Raw genomic sequence first — 18,494 nt, forward strand, 5'->3', positions numbered from 1 at the left:
TTTTATCTACCTTTGGTCTTTGATGATGTGACGTACAGATGGGGTTTTGATGTGGATGTCCTTTCTGTTTGTTAGTTTTCCTTCTAAGAGTCAGGACCCTCAGCTGCAGGTCTGTTGGAGTTTGCTGGAGGTCCACTCTGGACCCTGTTTGCCTGGGTATCAGCACCAGAGGCTGCAGAACAGTGGATATTGGTGAACAGCAAATGTTGCTGCCTGATCTTTCCTCTGGAAGTTTTGTCTCAGAGGAGTACCCGGCCGTGTGAGGTGTCAGTCTGCCCCTACTATGGGGATGCCTCCCAGTTAGGCTACTCGGGGGTCAGGGACCCACTTGAGGAGGCAGTCTGTCTGTTCTCAGATCTCCAGCTGCGTGCTGGGAGAACCACTACTCTCTTCAAAGCTGTTAGACAGGGACATTTAAGTCCGCAGAGGTTTCTTCTGCCTTTTGTTTGCCCTGCCCCCAGAGGTGGAGTGTACACAGGCAGGCAGGCCTCCTTGAGCTGCAGTGGACTCCACCCAGTTCGAGCTTCCCGGCTGCTTTGTTTACCTACTCAAGCCTCAGCAATGGCGGGCGCCCCTCCCCCAGCCTCGCTGCCGCCTTGCAGTTTGATCTCAGACTGCTGTGCTAGCAATGAGCGAGGCTCTGTGGGCGTAGGACCCTCCGAGCCAGGCGTGGGATACAATCTCCTGGTGTGCCATTTGCTCAGTTGGAAATGCAGAAATCATTCATCTTCTGTGTCACTCACACTGGGAGCTGTAGACTGGAGCTGTTCCTATTCGGCTGTCTTGGCTCCACCCCCCTCTAATTTTAGCTTTAAGTAACTTACAAAAAAACAGTATTACCATATATATTGGAAAAAAATCTGAACAGGCCAAAAAAAGCTGAACCAGGTTTTTGAGCATGAGAAGATTGAGATTTTGTTGCCTTGAATTTTTTGGATATCGTTTTGATCTTTTTTTTTTTGAGACGGTGTCTTGCTCTGTTGCCCAGGTTGGAATGCAGTGGTGCCATCTCAGCTCATTGCAACCTCCGCCTCCTGGGTTCAAGTGATTCTTGTGCCTCAGTCTCCCGAGTAGCTGGGATTACAGGTGCCCACCACCCACCTGGCTACTTTTTGTATTTTTAGTAGAGACGGGATTTCACCACGTTGGCAAGGCTGGTCTCCAACTCCTGACATCAGTTGATCCACCCTCCTCGCCTCCCAAAGTGCTGGGATTGCAGGTGTGAGCCACCATGCCTGGCTCATTTTGATCTATTTTCAAAAGTACTGTTATATGTGCATTACAAAAAAGTTGAGCAAAACAGAACTGTGTAAGTTATACACTATTATTTGTTTGGTGTTCACTGGACAGATATGCAACATATACCTATATTTACAAAATTATTTTTTACCTCAATAGGATAATATTCCATTGTTCTCAACTTGCTTTTTTGTCCTAAATTTTTTGTGAAATAAATTCAGTTTCAGTACATATACATTTACCTCACTTGGTCTATATTTTTGCAAGAGTTTCTGTTGGATAATATCCTAGAAGTAAGATTTCTAGTACAAAGAATACACGTTTAAAATTTTGTTTTGCCTCTCAAGAAAGCTTGTGCCCATTTCACCACCCCTCACATGGAATGAGAATGAAAGATAAAGTTTCTGAAACATAGGTACATGGAGATTCTGCCGGGTTTTGATAAGATATAATTTAAAATCATGATCAGAAGGTTGCTCAGCTGGCTTGGGGAGGAGATGCCTTCTAAAGTCAGAATCCTGTAAGGTATTCCTGCCTAACTCTTCAACTCCATTCTCTACCCAGAAGAGAAAAAAGGTGTGTGTGTGTGTGTGTGTGTGTGTGTGTGTGTAGAAATATGTCTCCTCTGCAAAGGATCCCTCAAAATGCTGAGTGTAACAGAGGGCAGATTTTTGGAGTCAGAGCTGCAATTAAATTTCAGCCCTGTCTCTCAATAGCAGCTTGTCTTTAAGCAAAATGTTTAACATTTCTGACCTGTTTTTTATCGTCTATAGCAAGGGGATAATCACACCACCTTACAGGGTTCACTGTGAGAATTAAATGTGTTACTTAACACAAAAGGCTAATAAATGGTGAGGACTAAGAGCTCAATTAATGGCTTCCATTGAGACATGAGAAAGGGTGATTATGACCAAGCTACGGGCACCTTGGAGGGTAAAGTTTTGCCCACTTTTGCAGAAAAATATGAGACAATCACTAACAGTCTAGTTAAGATATGCTATGTGGGCCAGGCATGGTGGCTCACACCTGTAATCCTAGCACTTTGGGAGGCCAAGGCAGGTGGATCACCTGAGGGCAGGAGTTCAAGACCAGCCTGGCCAACATGGCGAAACCCTGTGTCTACTAAAAAATACAAATATTAGCTGGGCATGGTGACACACGCCTGTAATCCCAGCTACTTGGGAGGCTGAGGCCGGAGAATCGCTTGAACCCGGGAGGCGGCGGTTCGTGCCACTGCACTCCAGCCTGGATGACATAGCAAGACTTCATCTCAAAAAAAAAAGGTATGCTATGTAACACTACACCTTTCCCACCTACATCCAGGAACCCTCTTTGATTTTAACCATAACAATTTTATCACCTTCTCATATGCATCATTACTCATTTACTATGCTTATTGTTTATGTCCTTTCCTAGGGTGTTCCATATGAACAAAACTTTATTCTTGTTCACTAAATTTCAACATCAGGGTAGCTGAAAACAAAGCCTGGCACATAGTAGGCACTCTTTTTTTTTAATTTTATTATTATTATACTTTAAGTTTTAGGGGTACATGTGCACAACGTGCAGGTTTGTTACATATGTATACATGTGCCATGTTGGTGTGCTGCACCCATTAACTTGTCATTTAGCATTAGGTGTATCTCCTAATGCTATCCCTCCCCCCTCCCCCCACCCCACAACAGTCCCCGGTGTGTTCTCATTGTTCAGTTCCCACCTATGAGTGAGAACATGTGGTGTTTGGTTTTTTGTCCTTGCGATAGTTTGCTGAGAATGATGGTTTCCAGCTTCATCCATGTCCCTAATCCTGTAGCTGGGATTACAGGCACCCACTGCCGTGCCTGGCTAATTTTTTGTATTTTTAGTAGAGACAGGGTTTCATCATGTTTGCCAGGCTGGCTTTGAACTCCTGGCCTCAAGTGATCCGCCAGCCTCGGCCTCCCAAAGTGCTGGAATTACAAGAGTGAGCCACTGCGCCCGACCTAGAATGACTATTAACTGAAGAATATGGGACTGAGAGCAAACAATGAGGTGGATAATTTTATTCACCAGAAACTTTCTAAAAAGAGAAGAGCCACAGTGTCCAGTGGGTTTTATGAACTTTGCTTCATGGATCATGAGGAAGGACCAGGGGTCCTAGAGCTACTCGGTTTTAAATCCATCTTCCAGTGGCCCATGTTGTTAGAGAGCAAGGCCCAGAGGTGAGTTACAGCTGAGCACTAGGGCAATGTGTCCTATGAAGAGGAAAGAGGACATAATAGGGAGAGCTCAGCAAGGATGAGGGAAAGTGGGAAGTGTTTTTAACAGCTGCTAAAAGTATGGAACTTAGAAGACAAAGAATTATGCCCCAAGAAGACTTCTGGGATGTTTTTTGTGGTACACAATATGAAATCCCTGGGTATTCCAGCTTTAAGGAAACCTACATGAAAGGTTGACATTGTTTCAAAGCTTCTAGCATTCAATTTGTGTTCCTTTGAGTGTGATGTCATGCTTATACTGAGATACATGCTTATACTGGGACCGCCAGATTTATTAGGGTTACACTGACCAGGTTTCTTTTTATTCTTTAATTTATTTGGGCCTCTCTTATTGCTGTTTCCCACCAGTCACTAGACTTGTTATTCATTGTAACAGCATGTGATTCATATCTCAAATGTATTGCAGTTTCCCATATGACATCTTATCTTACATTATTTGCATATTGTATTACATTATCTCTTCTCTTATATATTAGAGAAGTGACTGGAGTTATTTTTATTTCCTCTGCAGAGTGCTATAGTTCGAGATCATGTCTTAGAGTTGGTTACTTCTGAGAAGAGTTCTTATATTTGGCTAATTCCACTGTACATATATTATCAGTATCTAGAAATTTCGGTTGGCCTCTTTCATCAAGCCACATTCTGATTCAATTTTCAGGAAACTTAGGCAGTTTCTAAACTATTCAGAAAGCTGGAGGGGGAGGCCATCTAGGGTAGATTTAAGCATCAACCTGATTTTAATTTTTTTTTAATATGAGCTTAGATAGAACCAAATATAATTTAATAGTCTCCATTTTTTGTTACAGAAGATTTTTGGTAATTTGGTCCAAAAGATGTATTAAAATGCTTAGAGTCAACCAGGACCAACCTGGTTTCCATTTTTCTGTCCCATGTCCTCATTGGTTTAGTAATTTGGCCAGAGAGCATGGCCTGATTTTTTGATCAGAAGATATAGTCACCATACTCATGGAGGAAGGAATCAGGGACTGTGGGTTACCTGGTATAGAAGGACATAGTGAAGGAAAAGATAGAGAGGTTTGGAGTTTAAAGGATAAGGGATGTCGTTTTTGTTAGTTTTTAAGGAAAAAGGAAACTGAACATTTGGGTATGCAAAGAAGTCAGTAGAAAGTGAGGGATTAAAGGTGGAGATAACCACTGAAGCAAGTTCTGGAGGAGACAAAGGTAGATTTAATCACAAACCTGGGTGGGCCTTGGAGAGGAGGAAACACATGCCATTCTCAGGGAAGCAGAAGATGGAAGAAATATAAGGTATCTGAATTGAAGGAGTTTCTGACATGACCTACACTGTCTCAGCATAGTTAAGAAACAGTCGAATGACTGTGAGGAAAGCAAACGCAGGTTTGGGAATGTGAGAAGAATAGAAAAGAGGATAGTGAGTTGTTTAGGAAAAAATAAATAAGTTTGTGTCAACTTTGAGTCACCCTGAGGGCCTAGCTGAAGTTAGATAATAGGAATTAGCACCCGCCCCATCACTAAGTAGCATAATTGTCAGTGTCATCATACAGCAGCCCAGAAGCCAAGGAATGGATGGTTTGAGTCTGCCCAGCACTGGGGATTGGGACATGCCTGTGATGGAAAGTCAAGCTGTCTTCTTAGGGAATCTCTGGCTGGTGAGTGCCATCTAAAATGCTTATCGTAGCACCAGACGAAGGCCAAGGAACTAGAAGTTTGCTGAGGACAGAGAAATTTTGTTAGACAGAATAAAAGGGAAGAAAGAAGTCAAATTCAGGGATGATGACTTCAGAGTTTAATAATACAGACATGAAGCAGTTTGGAGTGATAATTCCAAAGTTTTCTGCAATGGAGATTTAGAAAAGAGTCAGAGAATACTGAGGTCTGAATGTGAAGGAAGTCATCCTTACGAACTTTGCTGTTACCCAGTGTCCAGGCTGGATGACAGGTATTTCCAGGAAGAGAATGAGTGACATGAATATGTGACATTTCCCCAACTCAGGTGACCACAAAACTGTTTTTCTTGTAAATGCCAGTATTCCAGAGATCATTCTTTGGAAAACTCTGTTCTAGGGCTCATCAGAGACTTTCCGTTTGTTGAATGAATGAATTACAGGTAAGAAGTTAAGAGGCAGCCTGGGACAGTGTCAAAATAAAGAGAAGGCAAGTATGTGGCTCTAATTACAGAAATCATTTTGAGCCTAGGCATCCCCTACTCTGGTACTTCCATCTCATGAACTGCCACCTTCTCTCCTGCATCCCTCTGTCACCTTCTTGCTACCAGTTGTGGGCCAGGCAGTTAAGATTTATTTATTTAGATACATCTCCTTATTACCTATTCCTTTCTTATGTTTGTAGATGGTTCTGTTCTTGCAAACTCCCAAATAGATATCAGTGAAATCAAAGCCACTCTTTGAGGGTGACAGGTTGGCAGAGAATACCATGACATTTTGAAACCTTTTGTCCAGAGAGTCCTTGGGTCCCCAGGTGTCCTGCCTATTTACACATAATATGCATATACATATTCTTCACCACACAGCCTTCTTTCCTCTTCCATTTAAGTTGGCTATGCTTATACCTACCCTCATTTCATGTCATTCTGATGGTAGTTAGCAAAGGAGGATAAGGAAGCAAATGGTATTTTACAAAGTATCATAGTAAACTGGTTGGGGAATTATGTGCTAGATTAATGCTGCTGCTGAAAATGGAAAACCAACCCTACCACCACCACCACCGCCACTCCACCCCCACCTCATTAGGTGACTAGAAGACAAATAGGACAGATATCAGAAAGGTCTTTGTAAAAAGAAAAATAGTACAGAACTCTTCACTAAGCAGAGGATTTGGTTAAAGAACATACAAGATTTGGAATGGCTCTCAAGTAAATATCTGTTGCAGGGGACACCAGATTTGATGTAACCACGACTTCTGTTGCTTTGTTTTAGAACGCCAGCCAGGCCCCTCTGTGGCCAATTCCAATGCCCTCCCTTCAAGTTCAGCTGGGATCAGCAAGGAGCTGATCGATCTGCAGCCTCTCATCCAGTTCCCAGAGGAAGTCGCCAGCATCCTGATGGAGCAAGAGCAGACTATTTACCGCAGGGTCTTGCCAGTCGACTACCTTTGCTTCTTAACACGGGACTTGGGCACTCCTGAATGCCAGAGCTCCTTGCCCTGCCTCAAAGCATCCATCTCAGCGTCGATTCTTACCACTCAGAATGGAGAGCACAATGCCCTTGAAGATCTGGTGATGAGGTTTAATGAGGTAAGAAGCCACTTTTTGATGTCTTGGTATTTGACTCACCCGTAAGTGATTTTCAAGCATACCTCCCCTTCTAGGTTTGTCTGTTCCTGATGTGTTCATTTCATTCTGTCTTGCCACTTCCATGATGGCTGTTTTTCTTTCCAGGCAAAGAGACAGACATCACATTGCAATCCTTCCTCTCACTGTACCCCAACTTGCCCTTAAGCCTAATTGATCTCAACTCCATTCTATTGCATTACCCAGTCCACCAATCCTAGTCCCTTTGGGCACCCAGAATGCCAATCTCCAACCCCTTCCTCTCCCCTACCAACCCCTCATTCCCAAAGGTGCTTTTAAAACCACATGTCTCAATTTTGAGTTTTGACAGCATGATCCCTGACCACATTCGTATAACCAACCCCCTGACCCCCTTCCATTATTAGGACTCCCTCAGCAGAAACACCTAGGTCACCAGAGAAGGCAGGAAACGTGGGGCAATTCATTGAGGGGCAGTGAATCACCTCGGTTCTCTCTCTGCATCCCCTGAAGATCCTCAGCCCCAGAATATCAATCCAAAGCCTCTGAGACCACATTAGAAGCCAGTTCTGAAGAAGACAGGTGTGACTGGAGTCTGGGAATACTTAGGACAAAGCCATTGCGTGGGGGTCTAGGGACTCACTGGGAGATCAAGAGCCACTGGCTGACATCCCTGTGGCCCTGGGATAGGGAGGAGCGTCAGGAAAGAGCAGGGAGTCTCCATGCAGTACTGGGGTTGGGCGGACTGCACTCTTGGGCTTAAAAGGCACTTTCTCTTAGTAATGTAACCCACACCCAGAGTTTTCTATTCTACATTTTATGTTTTAGATTTAATTTCTTTTGTTTTGTGTATTCAATCACAAAATTTTAATTGGTATGTTTGTTGGTTGTTAGTTGGCTGAACACAGAGTAGTTGCCTATTTTGGTCATTTAGTAAACTCTACCTAAATGCTAACAGGATATTCCTATTCTGAGTCATATATATCTCTGATTGTCTGAGGATCTGTCATCCTGTGTTACATAAACACTTTCTGGCAAGGTGCGGTGGCTCATGCCTGTAATCCCAGTGCTTTAGGAGGGTGAGACAGGAGGATCGCTTGAGGCCAGGAGTTCAAGACCAGACTGGGCAAAATAGCAAGACCTTGTCAGTACAAATTTAAAAATTAGCTGGGCATGGTGGTGCACACCTGCAGTCCCAGCTACTGTGGAGGCTGAGACCCTCTAAGGATCCCTTAGCCCAGAAGTTTAGAGGCTTCAGTGAGCTAGGATCACGTCATTATACTCCAGCCTGGGTGACAGAGTGAGACACCATCTTTAGAAAAAAACACAAAACACTTTCTAACTGTAGCTCACTTTGCAGCCTCCATAGCTTGCCAATCAAAATCCTGATGATGGTTGTAAATGTCAGTGACCATGATAAGGCCCATGAATACAACGAGTGTTAGAGGCTGAGCTCAAGCGGTTCTGTATCCAGACATGTCCTGAACACCAGTCTATCTGGCACTGTTGTGCTAACCATTTTATATGTACCACTTACTTGCTCCTTACAACAACCTTGGGAGACAGATATTGTCATTAGCCCTATCTTATCAATGAGAAACTGAAGTATGTGGAGATGAAGTTATTTTCCCAAGATTACACAAGTGGTAGGTGGCAATTTTGGTTTAAGCCCACAAAGTCAGGCCCTGGGCTTTGAATAACTATAGGATGCTGCTTCCCACCTGCAGCAGGATTGCACTGGGGGGTGGTGCCTGCTAAAACTGCAGATTCCTGGTCCCACCCCCAAACTGAGTAAGACAGAATCTCTGGGAGTCCACATGAGAGCTTGCAAATGTCACTGCCCCAAAGTTGTTTTTAAAAATAAAACTCCTGATGTTCTTGATTTTCCTTACTGATAAAAATGGGATGGAAAAATGAAAGTTCCAGTAAACTGAGTGATTTTATTAGTGGATTTCACTGTATTTCATGAATTATTTTAAACTTCCAGATCTACCCACTCTCACATCCTTAGGACCCTATCTTGTCTTTATTTTTAAATTTCGACCTGAACTTAAAAGTGAATTGCCAAAACTTTTAAAATCTAATTTTAAACTAAACTTGGATTTCTTCCATTCACTTCCATAACCTTGGGAATCAAAGACGAATCAGTGATTTCACTAATTCAGAGTTAGAGATGATATGACCTACAGCTGGGTAGAGGCAGGCTTTGGACTATCTCTGAAAATAGTTTAGCTAAGCAACTTCAGAACGTAAACAAGATTTCTGGGAAAACACTTAAACTACTTAAGAGAACAGTCTGTTTCAAGTATTCTCAAGCATCTATTTTCATACAAATTATGGGTATGCTGATTAAAAATCAGTCTTACATAGTCAGATCCCAAATGATCTCTACTGGACACGACTGGAATAGCTAAATTCTAGTTCTTTTGTATACCTTAAAGTAGAAAAGTTCCATTACATCAAAAGAGAATTTTCAAATTCAGATTTTTCACCTATTTTGAGTGACCTTGCCTTGAAATTAGCATGGCTTTACATACTGTAAAGAAAAGGAAGAAATGGAGTTTGCATTTATTTAATAGATGCTCTGGACTGGACATTTTCACATTTCTTAAAATCTCATTCAGTTCTTATGACAGTTGTCATCAACCCTGTCTTGCAGATGAGGAAAGTGAAGCTTAGGCAACAAAATAAATAATGACAGTGTTGGATTATGGCCCATAGAGTAAAATAAATATTTTTTAATCCATACCGATATAAATACATCAGTGTGGTGGGGTTGGGGAGTAGGGACAGCACTTACTTATAGAAAAATTTCAATTAATAAATGTAGAAAGAATGAGAAAAATAGAAAATCATCATTAGAATACTACAGTAATAACTGTTGCAGGCAAGAACTACTGATGAATTCTAAAATTATTGGGCAAAAGTAAGTTTGATGAGAAATAGGACATTTGCAAATAGTCTCAAAGCATCTCTCCACAAGGTATTTATTAATACAAAGGGGAAAATAGAACAGTGGAGAAACCCGGTAGACACTGGCTTGACCAAGTGATCAAGGCTAACATGATTAGTAATGAGACATATCAACATATGCCTCCTGATATGATGCCCTGAGAAAGGCAGGACTTCATCTCTATAGTGTTCTTGCCAAAAACACACCACATAAATCTAGCAATGAAAAAAAATATCAGGCAACTCTAAATTGAAGGACATTCTACTCTTCAAAAGCATCAAGGTCATAAAAGGTAAGAAAAAATTGAGGAACTGTTAAAGGCTAGAGGAGACCAGGAGACATGACGACTAAATGCAGTGTGGGATCCTAGTGGACCATGGACTAGAAAAAGACATTAATGGAAAAACTGGAGAAACTCTGAGGCTCATAGTTTAGTTAGTATGATTGTATCAATGTTAATTTCCTGGTTTTGACAATTGTGCTATGATTATGAAAGATGCTAACATTAGAGGAAGCTGAGTGAAGGGTGTACAAGAACTCTCTGTACTGTCTTTTGCAACTTTTCTGTAAATCTAAAATTACTTCAAAATAAAAAAAAATTGTAAGCAGTGAGCTCAGAGAGATTGAGTCACTTGTCTAAGTAGCTGAGTGGATATCAGAATCCAGATCTTTCTTCAAAGTCTATCTCTTCTCACCCAGCTGCTTCTCTCTTGTTAAATTATCAGGTTCAAGTCTGTAGTAAAACCTGACTTGCTAATTGAGAATTTCATTAGCCTTGGGTCTCCTTTCCCTCTTCCCTCCCTCTCTTTCTATTTCTTTTCAAAATCTCCTGTGTGTCTATCTTTTTTCTACTTCTCTTTCTGATTTTTATCCAGTTTCCCATTATCTAGGTTCCTGCCATTACTCCCTCATTCATTCATTCATTCATTCACTCAAGAGATTTATTTATTTCAATTTTTTAGTTTTAATTTTTGTGGGTACATAGTAGGTGTATATATTTATGGGATAGAGAGGATATTTTGGTACAGGCATACAATGTGTTATTACATCAGAGTAAATAGGGTATCCATCATCTCAAGTACTGATCCGTTGTATTAAAAACAATCCAATTACACTCCTTTTGTTACTTTTAAATGTACAATTAAATTATTATTGACTATATCACTCTTTTGTGCTATCAAATACTAGATCTTACATTTTTTTCTGACTATTGTATGTACCCATTAACTGTCCCCACTTCCTCCCTCACTCCCCTCTACTACCTTTCTCACCCTGTAGTAACCATCCTTCTACTTTCTGTCTCCATGAGTTCAATTGTTTTAATTTTTAGCTCCCACAAATAAGTGAGAACACACAGAGGTTATCTTTCTGTGCCTTGCTTATTTCACTTAACATAATGACCTTCAATTCAATTCATGTTGTTGCAAATTACAAGATCTTATTCTTTTTTATGGCTGAATTATATATATGTGCTACATTTTCTTATCTATTCATCTTGTTGATGGACACTTAGGTTGCTTCCAAATCTTGGCTATTGTGAATAGTGCTGAAATAAACATGGGAGTGCAGATATCTCTTCAATAGATTGGTTTTCTTTCTTTGGGGTATATACCTAGAAGTGGGGTTGCGAGATCACTGAAGACATACTTATTGGCTGGGCATAGCAGCTCATACCTATAATCCTAGCAATTTGGGAGCCTGAGGCAGGCAGATGGCCTGAGCCCAGGAGTTTGAGACCAGCCTGGGGAACATAGCAAAACCTCATCTCCACAAAAAGTACAAAAAATTAGCCAGGCATGGTGGTGCATGCCTGTGGTCTCAGCTACTTGGGAGGCTGAGGTGGGAGGATTGCCTGATCCTGGGAGGTCGAGGCTGCAGTGAGCCAAGATCGTACTACTGCACTTCAGCCTGAGCAACAGAGTAAGTCCCTGTCTCAAAAAACAGACACATTGAGCACCTACTGTTCTCTCGTCTTCTCTTTTTTTCCATTGGCATGTCAAACATATTTTTTAAAAATAAGAAATTAGCAGTATATGGTGAAAATTGATGTTATAAGCCCATACTTTGATTCTGCCAAAATTGGATACACAAAATAAATGCACTTTCCTCAGTGGAAAGATGTATATTCCTTGGAATGTTATAGTATCTTAAAGACAAGAAAGAGAATATTAGCTCCATTGCCGGTGCTAGTCACTTGGGGTGGGGGGAAGTGAATGCATTTACTCGTGCATCCATTCAGTTAATCCAGGACTTCTTAGAAGCAGTGTACTGTGGTAGATATGCACTAAGGAAAGTAAATAGCAGTCTGCCAGAAGCTATGAGACATGGACACAAATATCTACCAAAAAAGGCAGAAAGTAAGTGCAGTGAGAGTGGCACCAACAGAGAAGGCTGGGGTGTCCAGGTGGGTGACAAGAGCTCATTCTGCTGAGCCCTCGAGTCTGGGGCTGGGTCTTGAGAGATGGGAGGAATAGAGGGGGAAGTTCATGGAAATGGAAGGCAGTCCAGACAAGAAGACAATCAGACAGTTTTTGTCATGAGCAAGACTCATGGTTTAGGGAGGCAGCTTGTTCCAGATTGCCCCCAGAACCACGCTTATGAGCTAGAAGTTTCTATATTCTAACAACTCTCTACACAATGACTTAACTGTAATGTGAGAAAAAGGAAGAAAATTCCTAATACTTTTTGGGCAGTTTTGCATAATGTTTATTCTTAGGAAAGCATGGTTAAAATGCAACTCAAAGTACGACCATGAAATTACTGAAAAGGTTCAGCTTACATTAATGAAGGCCTGGAGATAAATCATTTAAAATCAGTTTGGATTGTGGCTTGGAAGCAGTGTTTCCTCCCCATTCCCCCTTCTCATGCCCTATTAGACTGTGATGCACACACTAGAGAAACTTCTTAAAGGCAGTCTCTCTTTATCCTTGAAAAGAAACAGAAGCACAAGGAGGGGTCAGTCCTCAGGCAGAGCTAGTCAAGATTTGTGTTGAACGTAGGCTTCATCCTGCTTTGCTTAGTTTGAGAGACAGGTCTTCCCGAACTTTCTTAATCTGGACACCTCTCTGTAGTCATATTCCTGATCTGAAGCTCTTAGAAGCCAGTGTTCTTTCTCTCTCCTTTCAGGTGGAGCAGCCTCACTTCTTGACCACCCACGAAATCTCTCACTTTGACAGTCTCAAATCATATTGTTCTTTTTTCCTATCCTTCATCTTCCTGCATCTAGCTTATACCTCTAGCCCACATTCCTTATGACCTTACTTTTAAAAAATTCCTCCTAAAATAAATTCCCAAGCCCTTTATCTTTTCTAGAGGAAATGCAGAGGCATTTTTATAGACAATTTTACCAAAAAGATTACATACTTTAGTGCATGCAGGTGAAAAGAGAGGAGAGGCAAATCGAGATTGCAGGGCATCCTTCCTCCCTTCACTACCTCTCCCCTCTTTCCTGAGAAGCACTTTGGTGGAACGTGGAGTGAGGGGGAGGATCTTGGCATCACAGTTCTGAGTTGCTAGTTCTCAAACTTCATGTCTCCTTAATATGTCCTTTGCTCTTGTTGTGTTGTTCACCAATGATGATTTTGGGGGTTGGAACCCTTCATTGCATCTACAGCTGGTCCTTGGGATCGATCACACAAGCAAATTTTTGACTTCATAACCTGTCACCACCCACACCACTTCCAGGCACTCTTTTGTGTAACAGACAGTTGATATCTCTGGCTGGAAAGTGATTTTCAAGGGGCCATAAGCAGGTTCACTTTTTTCTATGTCCTAAGAGGGCAGTTTTTGCTTGTTGGGTGGTTCTTGGCAACACCATTCAGCAGGGCTTCTCTTTCAGACCAGCTGGTCTGAGGGTAGGTCATGAGTCCTAGATTGAGACCCCCAGTTCTATTGAGACCCCAGCAGCTTCTACAAGGCCTCCATGTGGCTCTGCCCTGGGTGTCTTTTCCCCTCCCCAATTCTGTGTGGTCAACCTGAGCATTCATCAGCTAGCTTCCCTGAGCCATGCAATCTTGGGCAGCCCAAAGTGACAATCAGTTGTTGCTTGTTCCTTCTGTCCAGTAGGTTTCACCAGATGTCAGTTCAACAGTTTAAAGGCCATCCTCTCTGTAAAGAATGCCAAGATGCAGCTTAACTTCCTGGTAAAGAGTAGTAAGAATAAATAAACCATCTGGTCAAAGAAGAGCCGTTTGAGCTTTCAGCCAGAATTCCTTATATACTTCATAGCAATGATGATCGCTTTGGCAGATTCCAGCATCTAAAAGCCTGTCTGGTCATAGCTATGGAAAGACCATTTCAGCACAGTAAGCAGAAAGCATAGCATATTATAACGATGTGAGGCAGTGTCATGTCCAAATAGGTTCTTTCACTTGAAATGTTTTAGAAAAAATATTGGTTTTTGAATTTGTATATTGAACCATGTTTAGAAACGTCTCAATCAAAGTTTTCCCCCTCTTTTATAAAAGCAGACAGCAGAGCAAATCATCTGTTCAGGGCTGCTTTACAAACTTCCTTCCTCAAATCTGAACACTCACAGGATAAACTGCTGATAAAAACCCCCTCAGGGTAAGGGAAATTTCAGCTCACTTTGGAAAATCAAATTTTTCCTTGACAAAGCACATCTCCCCTCTCAGAGCAGATATTGTATTCTTTCCCTGGAACATTTCACAGCACATTCCAGGAGTAACAGATATTTTACTCCAGAAATTTCTTGACTAAAAAAAATACAGTAGGCAAATAAACTACAGAAACTCAGCTGTGCAGGGCGGCATCCTAAGTGCAAGGTTAGCTGTAGATGGCACTTCCATCCTGAAGCTGATTGACAGCAAATCATGTCTCATGGTTCCTGGCAGTCAGCACCCACACAGGGCTTTCCTCACCCAGAGTAACACGTAGGGCTGAGAAATAAGAGGGGCATGGAGGCTTGACATCATTCAGGTGCAGCTCTGGAGTCAGGCTGCCTGGGTTCTGATCCACCATTCCCAGCTGTGCAACCTCAAGCCAGATACCTAACCCTTCATCTTTATCTTATTTTTATTTTAGTTTAGTTTTTTTTTTTTTTTTTTGACAGGGTCTCTGTTGCCCAGGCTGGAGTACAGTGGCTGATCTTTGCTCAGTGCAGCCTCAGCCTCTCAGGCTCAAGCGATCCTCCCACCTCAGCCTCCCAAATAGTTGGGACTACAGGTGCACACCACCTCGCCTGGCTAATTTTTGTATTTTTAGTAGAGATGGGATTTCACTGTGTTGTCCAGGCTGGCCTCAAACTCCTGAGCTCCAGAGATCCACCTGCCTTGGCCTCCCAATGTGCTGGGATTTCAGACGTACGTCACCACACCCGGCCTAATCTCTCATCTTTAAATGGGGCTAATAATATATCTACCCCAAATGCTTTATATGAGTATTCAGAGAAATGACATGTTTAAAGCACTTATCAGGGACCAAAGACACAGTAGTGGTTTGATGTTAGTTCCCAAAAAAAAAAAAAACCACTAACATAACAGCATTATTAGAATAACTAATGATAATAAATTCCGTTTTTTATTATTATGATCACCCCCACTTAACAGGTGAGAAAACTGAGACACAGAGAGACTAAATGAATGACCTGTGGTTTCAGAGGTGACAGTTGAACCCAGTTGTTCTGGCTTCCAGAGCCAGCATTCTTGGCTCATCTGCTTGATACTTTTGAATCAAAAGCTGAGGGACCTTCTTTCCACCACTCGGTTCTCTTACTCTAAATGAAACCATTTTCCTCGCAATAGGATTCAGAATTTTTTTATGATTTCAATATGTGTAAAAATGTTGACCTGTTTGTTGATTTTAACCTATGTGCTGACTTCCTGATATTGTAAATGCAGCATCTCCTTTGAACTAGGAGATTGTGGCCCTTGAAATAGGGAGGACAACAGCATCTCAATGTCTGAGAATATTAGAGCATGGGGGATAATTTATCATTTCCACAGCACCAGGCAGAAGGCAGATTTCAGATTTTTGGCTTTTCAAGTTCCCTTCTTGGCTCTGAGGTTTCCTTTGGTGTGAAATGCCTGAGAAAGATTGCCCCCAAAATCTAAAGGAGTTTATTTATATTCCTCTCTTGACCACATCATTTCTACTACATTTTTCCACCTCTCTGTCTGTTCATTCCTATTTTACATGAAACCCACACCCTTAGCGGTGATGGTGCTATGATTTGAATGTGTTTACTCCAAAACTCAGGTGTTGCCACTGTGGTGGGATTAAGAGTTGGGACCTCTAAGAGGTGATTAGGCTGTGAGGGCTCCTCCATCGTCAATGGGATTAAGGCCCTTGTAAAAGAGACTTCATGCAGCATTCAGCTTACTTGCCCTTTCACCTTCTGCCATGTGAGGACACAGTGTCCCCTTCAGAGGATGCAGCTGTCACCAGACAACTGAAATTGTTAGCACCTTGTGGAGCTCCCAGGCTCAGAACTATGAGAAAATAAATTTCCACTCTTTATACATTACACAGTGGTATTCTCTTATAGCAGCACAAAATGGACTAAGACAGATAGCTTTGAAATTCAAAATCTTAAGTCCTACCTGTGCTCCCAGTTGGGGCAGCAGGAGGAGGCAGTGGGAAGGGGCTGCCTTGCACCTTGTCAGACAGGACTGGCACGCATGCACTCATTCTTCAACCATCTAATGTGACTTCCTTGAACAGTAGTTCTCACTGATCAGCGGAATGAAGACAATGGGAATCAGAATATTTTTAAAATGTGCACGTATCCGTAGCCCACCCCCAAGAGATTCTGCCTCCGTGGATGCAAGGTGGGGCCCAGGCATTTATAATTTTGAAAAGCTCCATGGGCCGGGTGCGGTGGCTCACGCCTGTAATCCCAGCACTTTGGGAGGCCAACATGGGTGGATCACAAGGTCAGGAGATCGAGACCATCCTGGCCAAAATGGTGAAACCCCGTCTCTACTAAAAAATACAAAAAAAAATTAGCCGGGCGTGGTGGCAGGCGCCTGTAGTCCCAGCTACTCGGGAGGCTGAGGCAGGAGAATGGCGTGAACCCAGGAGGCGGAGCTTGCAGTGAGCCGAGATCACACCACTGCACTCCAGCCTGGGTGACAGAGCAAGACTCTGTCTCAAAAAAATAAAATAAAATAAAATAAAATAAAAAGATAAAAAGCTCCATGAAGGCCAGGCATAGTGGCTCACTCCTACAATCCTAGTAGTTTAGGCATCTGAGGCAGGAGGGTTGCTTGAGTCCAGGAGTTCAAGACAAACCAGAAGTTCAAGACCAACATAGCAAGATCCTGTATCTACAAAAAATTAAAAAATTGACAGGGCATGGTGGTGCATACCTGTAGTTCCAGCTACTGGGGAGGCTGAGGTGGGAGGAACATTTGGGCCCAGGAATTGAGGCTGCAGTGAGGTAGGATCATGCCACTATACTCCAGTCTGAATGATAGAGTGAGACCCTTTCTCTAAAATTTAAAATAACAAAAAGGAAAAAACATAACTTCACGAGATAACGCTGATGCTACCAACACACCAATAGTTGAGAATCACTGCTCTAGAACATCAGTCACAGCAGTACTCAAAGAGAACAAAGCTGTATCCCAAAGCAAATAGGAGGAAAATGTCTTCCTTCCTTTTCTTTCTGTTTTTTTTTTTTTTCATTTTTTGCTCATAGTACTGCCATGGAGGACTTCATTTTGAAACAGGAGGAAAATGGTTTCTATCTTTGGGGTCATCCATTAGTGCAGATACTTGAGAATTGTTCCACGTACATTTAAATAAATGTAATGGGTTGTTTTCCCTGCCTTCATTTCTTTTTTATTTTATTTTATTTTTTGAGACAGAGTCTGACTGTCACCCAGGCTGGAGTGCAATGGTATGATCTCGGCTCACTACAACCTCCGCCTCCCAGGTTCAAGCAATTCTCGTGCCTCAGCCTCCCGAGTAGCTGGATCACAGATGTGCACCACCACCCTTGGATAATTTTTTTTTTTTTTTTTAGTAGAGATGGGGTTTCACCATGTTGGCCAGGCTGGCCTCAAACTCCTGGCCTTAAGCAATCCACCTGCCTTGGCCTCCCAAAGTGCTGGGATTATAAGCCTGAGCTACCATGCCTGGCCCCATCTTCATTTCTTTTCTTTCTTCTTTCCTTCATTCCTTCCTTTTCTTCTTTCCTTTCTTTCTGTATTTTTTTCATTGTTTGCTCATAGTACTACAAAATGGAGGATGTGATTTTGAAACCTTTAATATTTAGACTATTTTATTACTATAATAGGCTATCTTAATTCTTAGTTCTCCTTCTTAAAGCTCACATTGTGTCTCTAGAATTTAACTGGCCCAGAAAGTTAACTGTCAAAGCCATTGACTTATTGGAGACATGTTTAATTCTGTTTTAAAGCAGGTATCAGTTAACACCTCTGTCCTGAGACTGGTAGAAACAATAATGGATCCGGTGGAAATCAGCAAATAGATGAATAGGAATTTTGACCTATGTGAGCAGTGTTATTACTATTAAAAATAATAAACATGACCCAGAGAAGCACTGCAGCAGTTCCTCAAGGCCTTTGCCATCAGATCACTTAAATGACTCTGAACACTGTGGGAAAGATCAGGTCAGCTTTGGTCAGAGATTAGGATTTTGAGCCTCTTTTCAGGACGGCATTAGCTGACCCTATTAGGATGTTTAATTCTGCTCTTTGAAAAACCACTTTTAGAGATTTTTACTGCACATGTGAGAGCCAAGGAGGAATGTATTTATGCTTTACTGAGGATCTGCATTTGCCCAAAAGATTTAAACATTCATAAATCC

The 18,494-nt window shown here is 42.0% G+C and overlaps 1 protein-coding gene across 32 annotated transcripts in view; it reads left to right on the forward strand.

Annotated features, from left to right (window-relative positions):
- PLCE1 (phospholipase C epsilon 1) overlaps positions 1-18,494 on the forward strand; it is a 338,893-nt gene that overhangs the window by 170,834 nt on the left and 149,565 nt on the right. For all 32 annotated transcript variants that reach the window (XM_047425285.1, XM_047425289.1, XM_047425297.1 and 29 more), the window contains one exon: positions 6,416-6,732. In XM_047425285.1, coding sequence (XP_047281241.1) covers positions 6,416-6,732 — 317 coding nt within the window. The remainder of the gene's footprint in view (positions 1-6,415; positions 6,733-18,494) is intronic.

This window comes from Homo sapiens, chromosome 10 (genome assembly GCF_000001405.40).
Source record: "Homo sapiens chromosome 10, GRCh38.p14 Primary Assembly".
Taxonomy (NCBI): domain Eukaryota; kingdom Metazoa; phylum Chordata; class Mammalia; order Primates; family Hominidae; genus Homo; species Homo sapiens.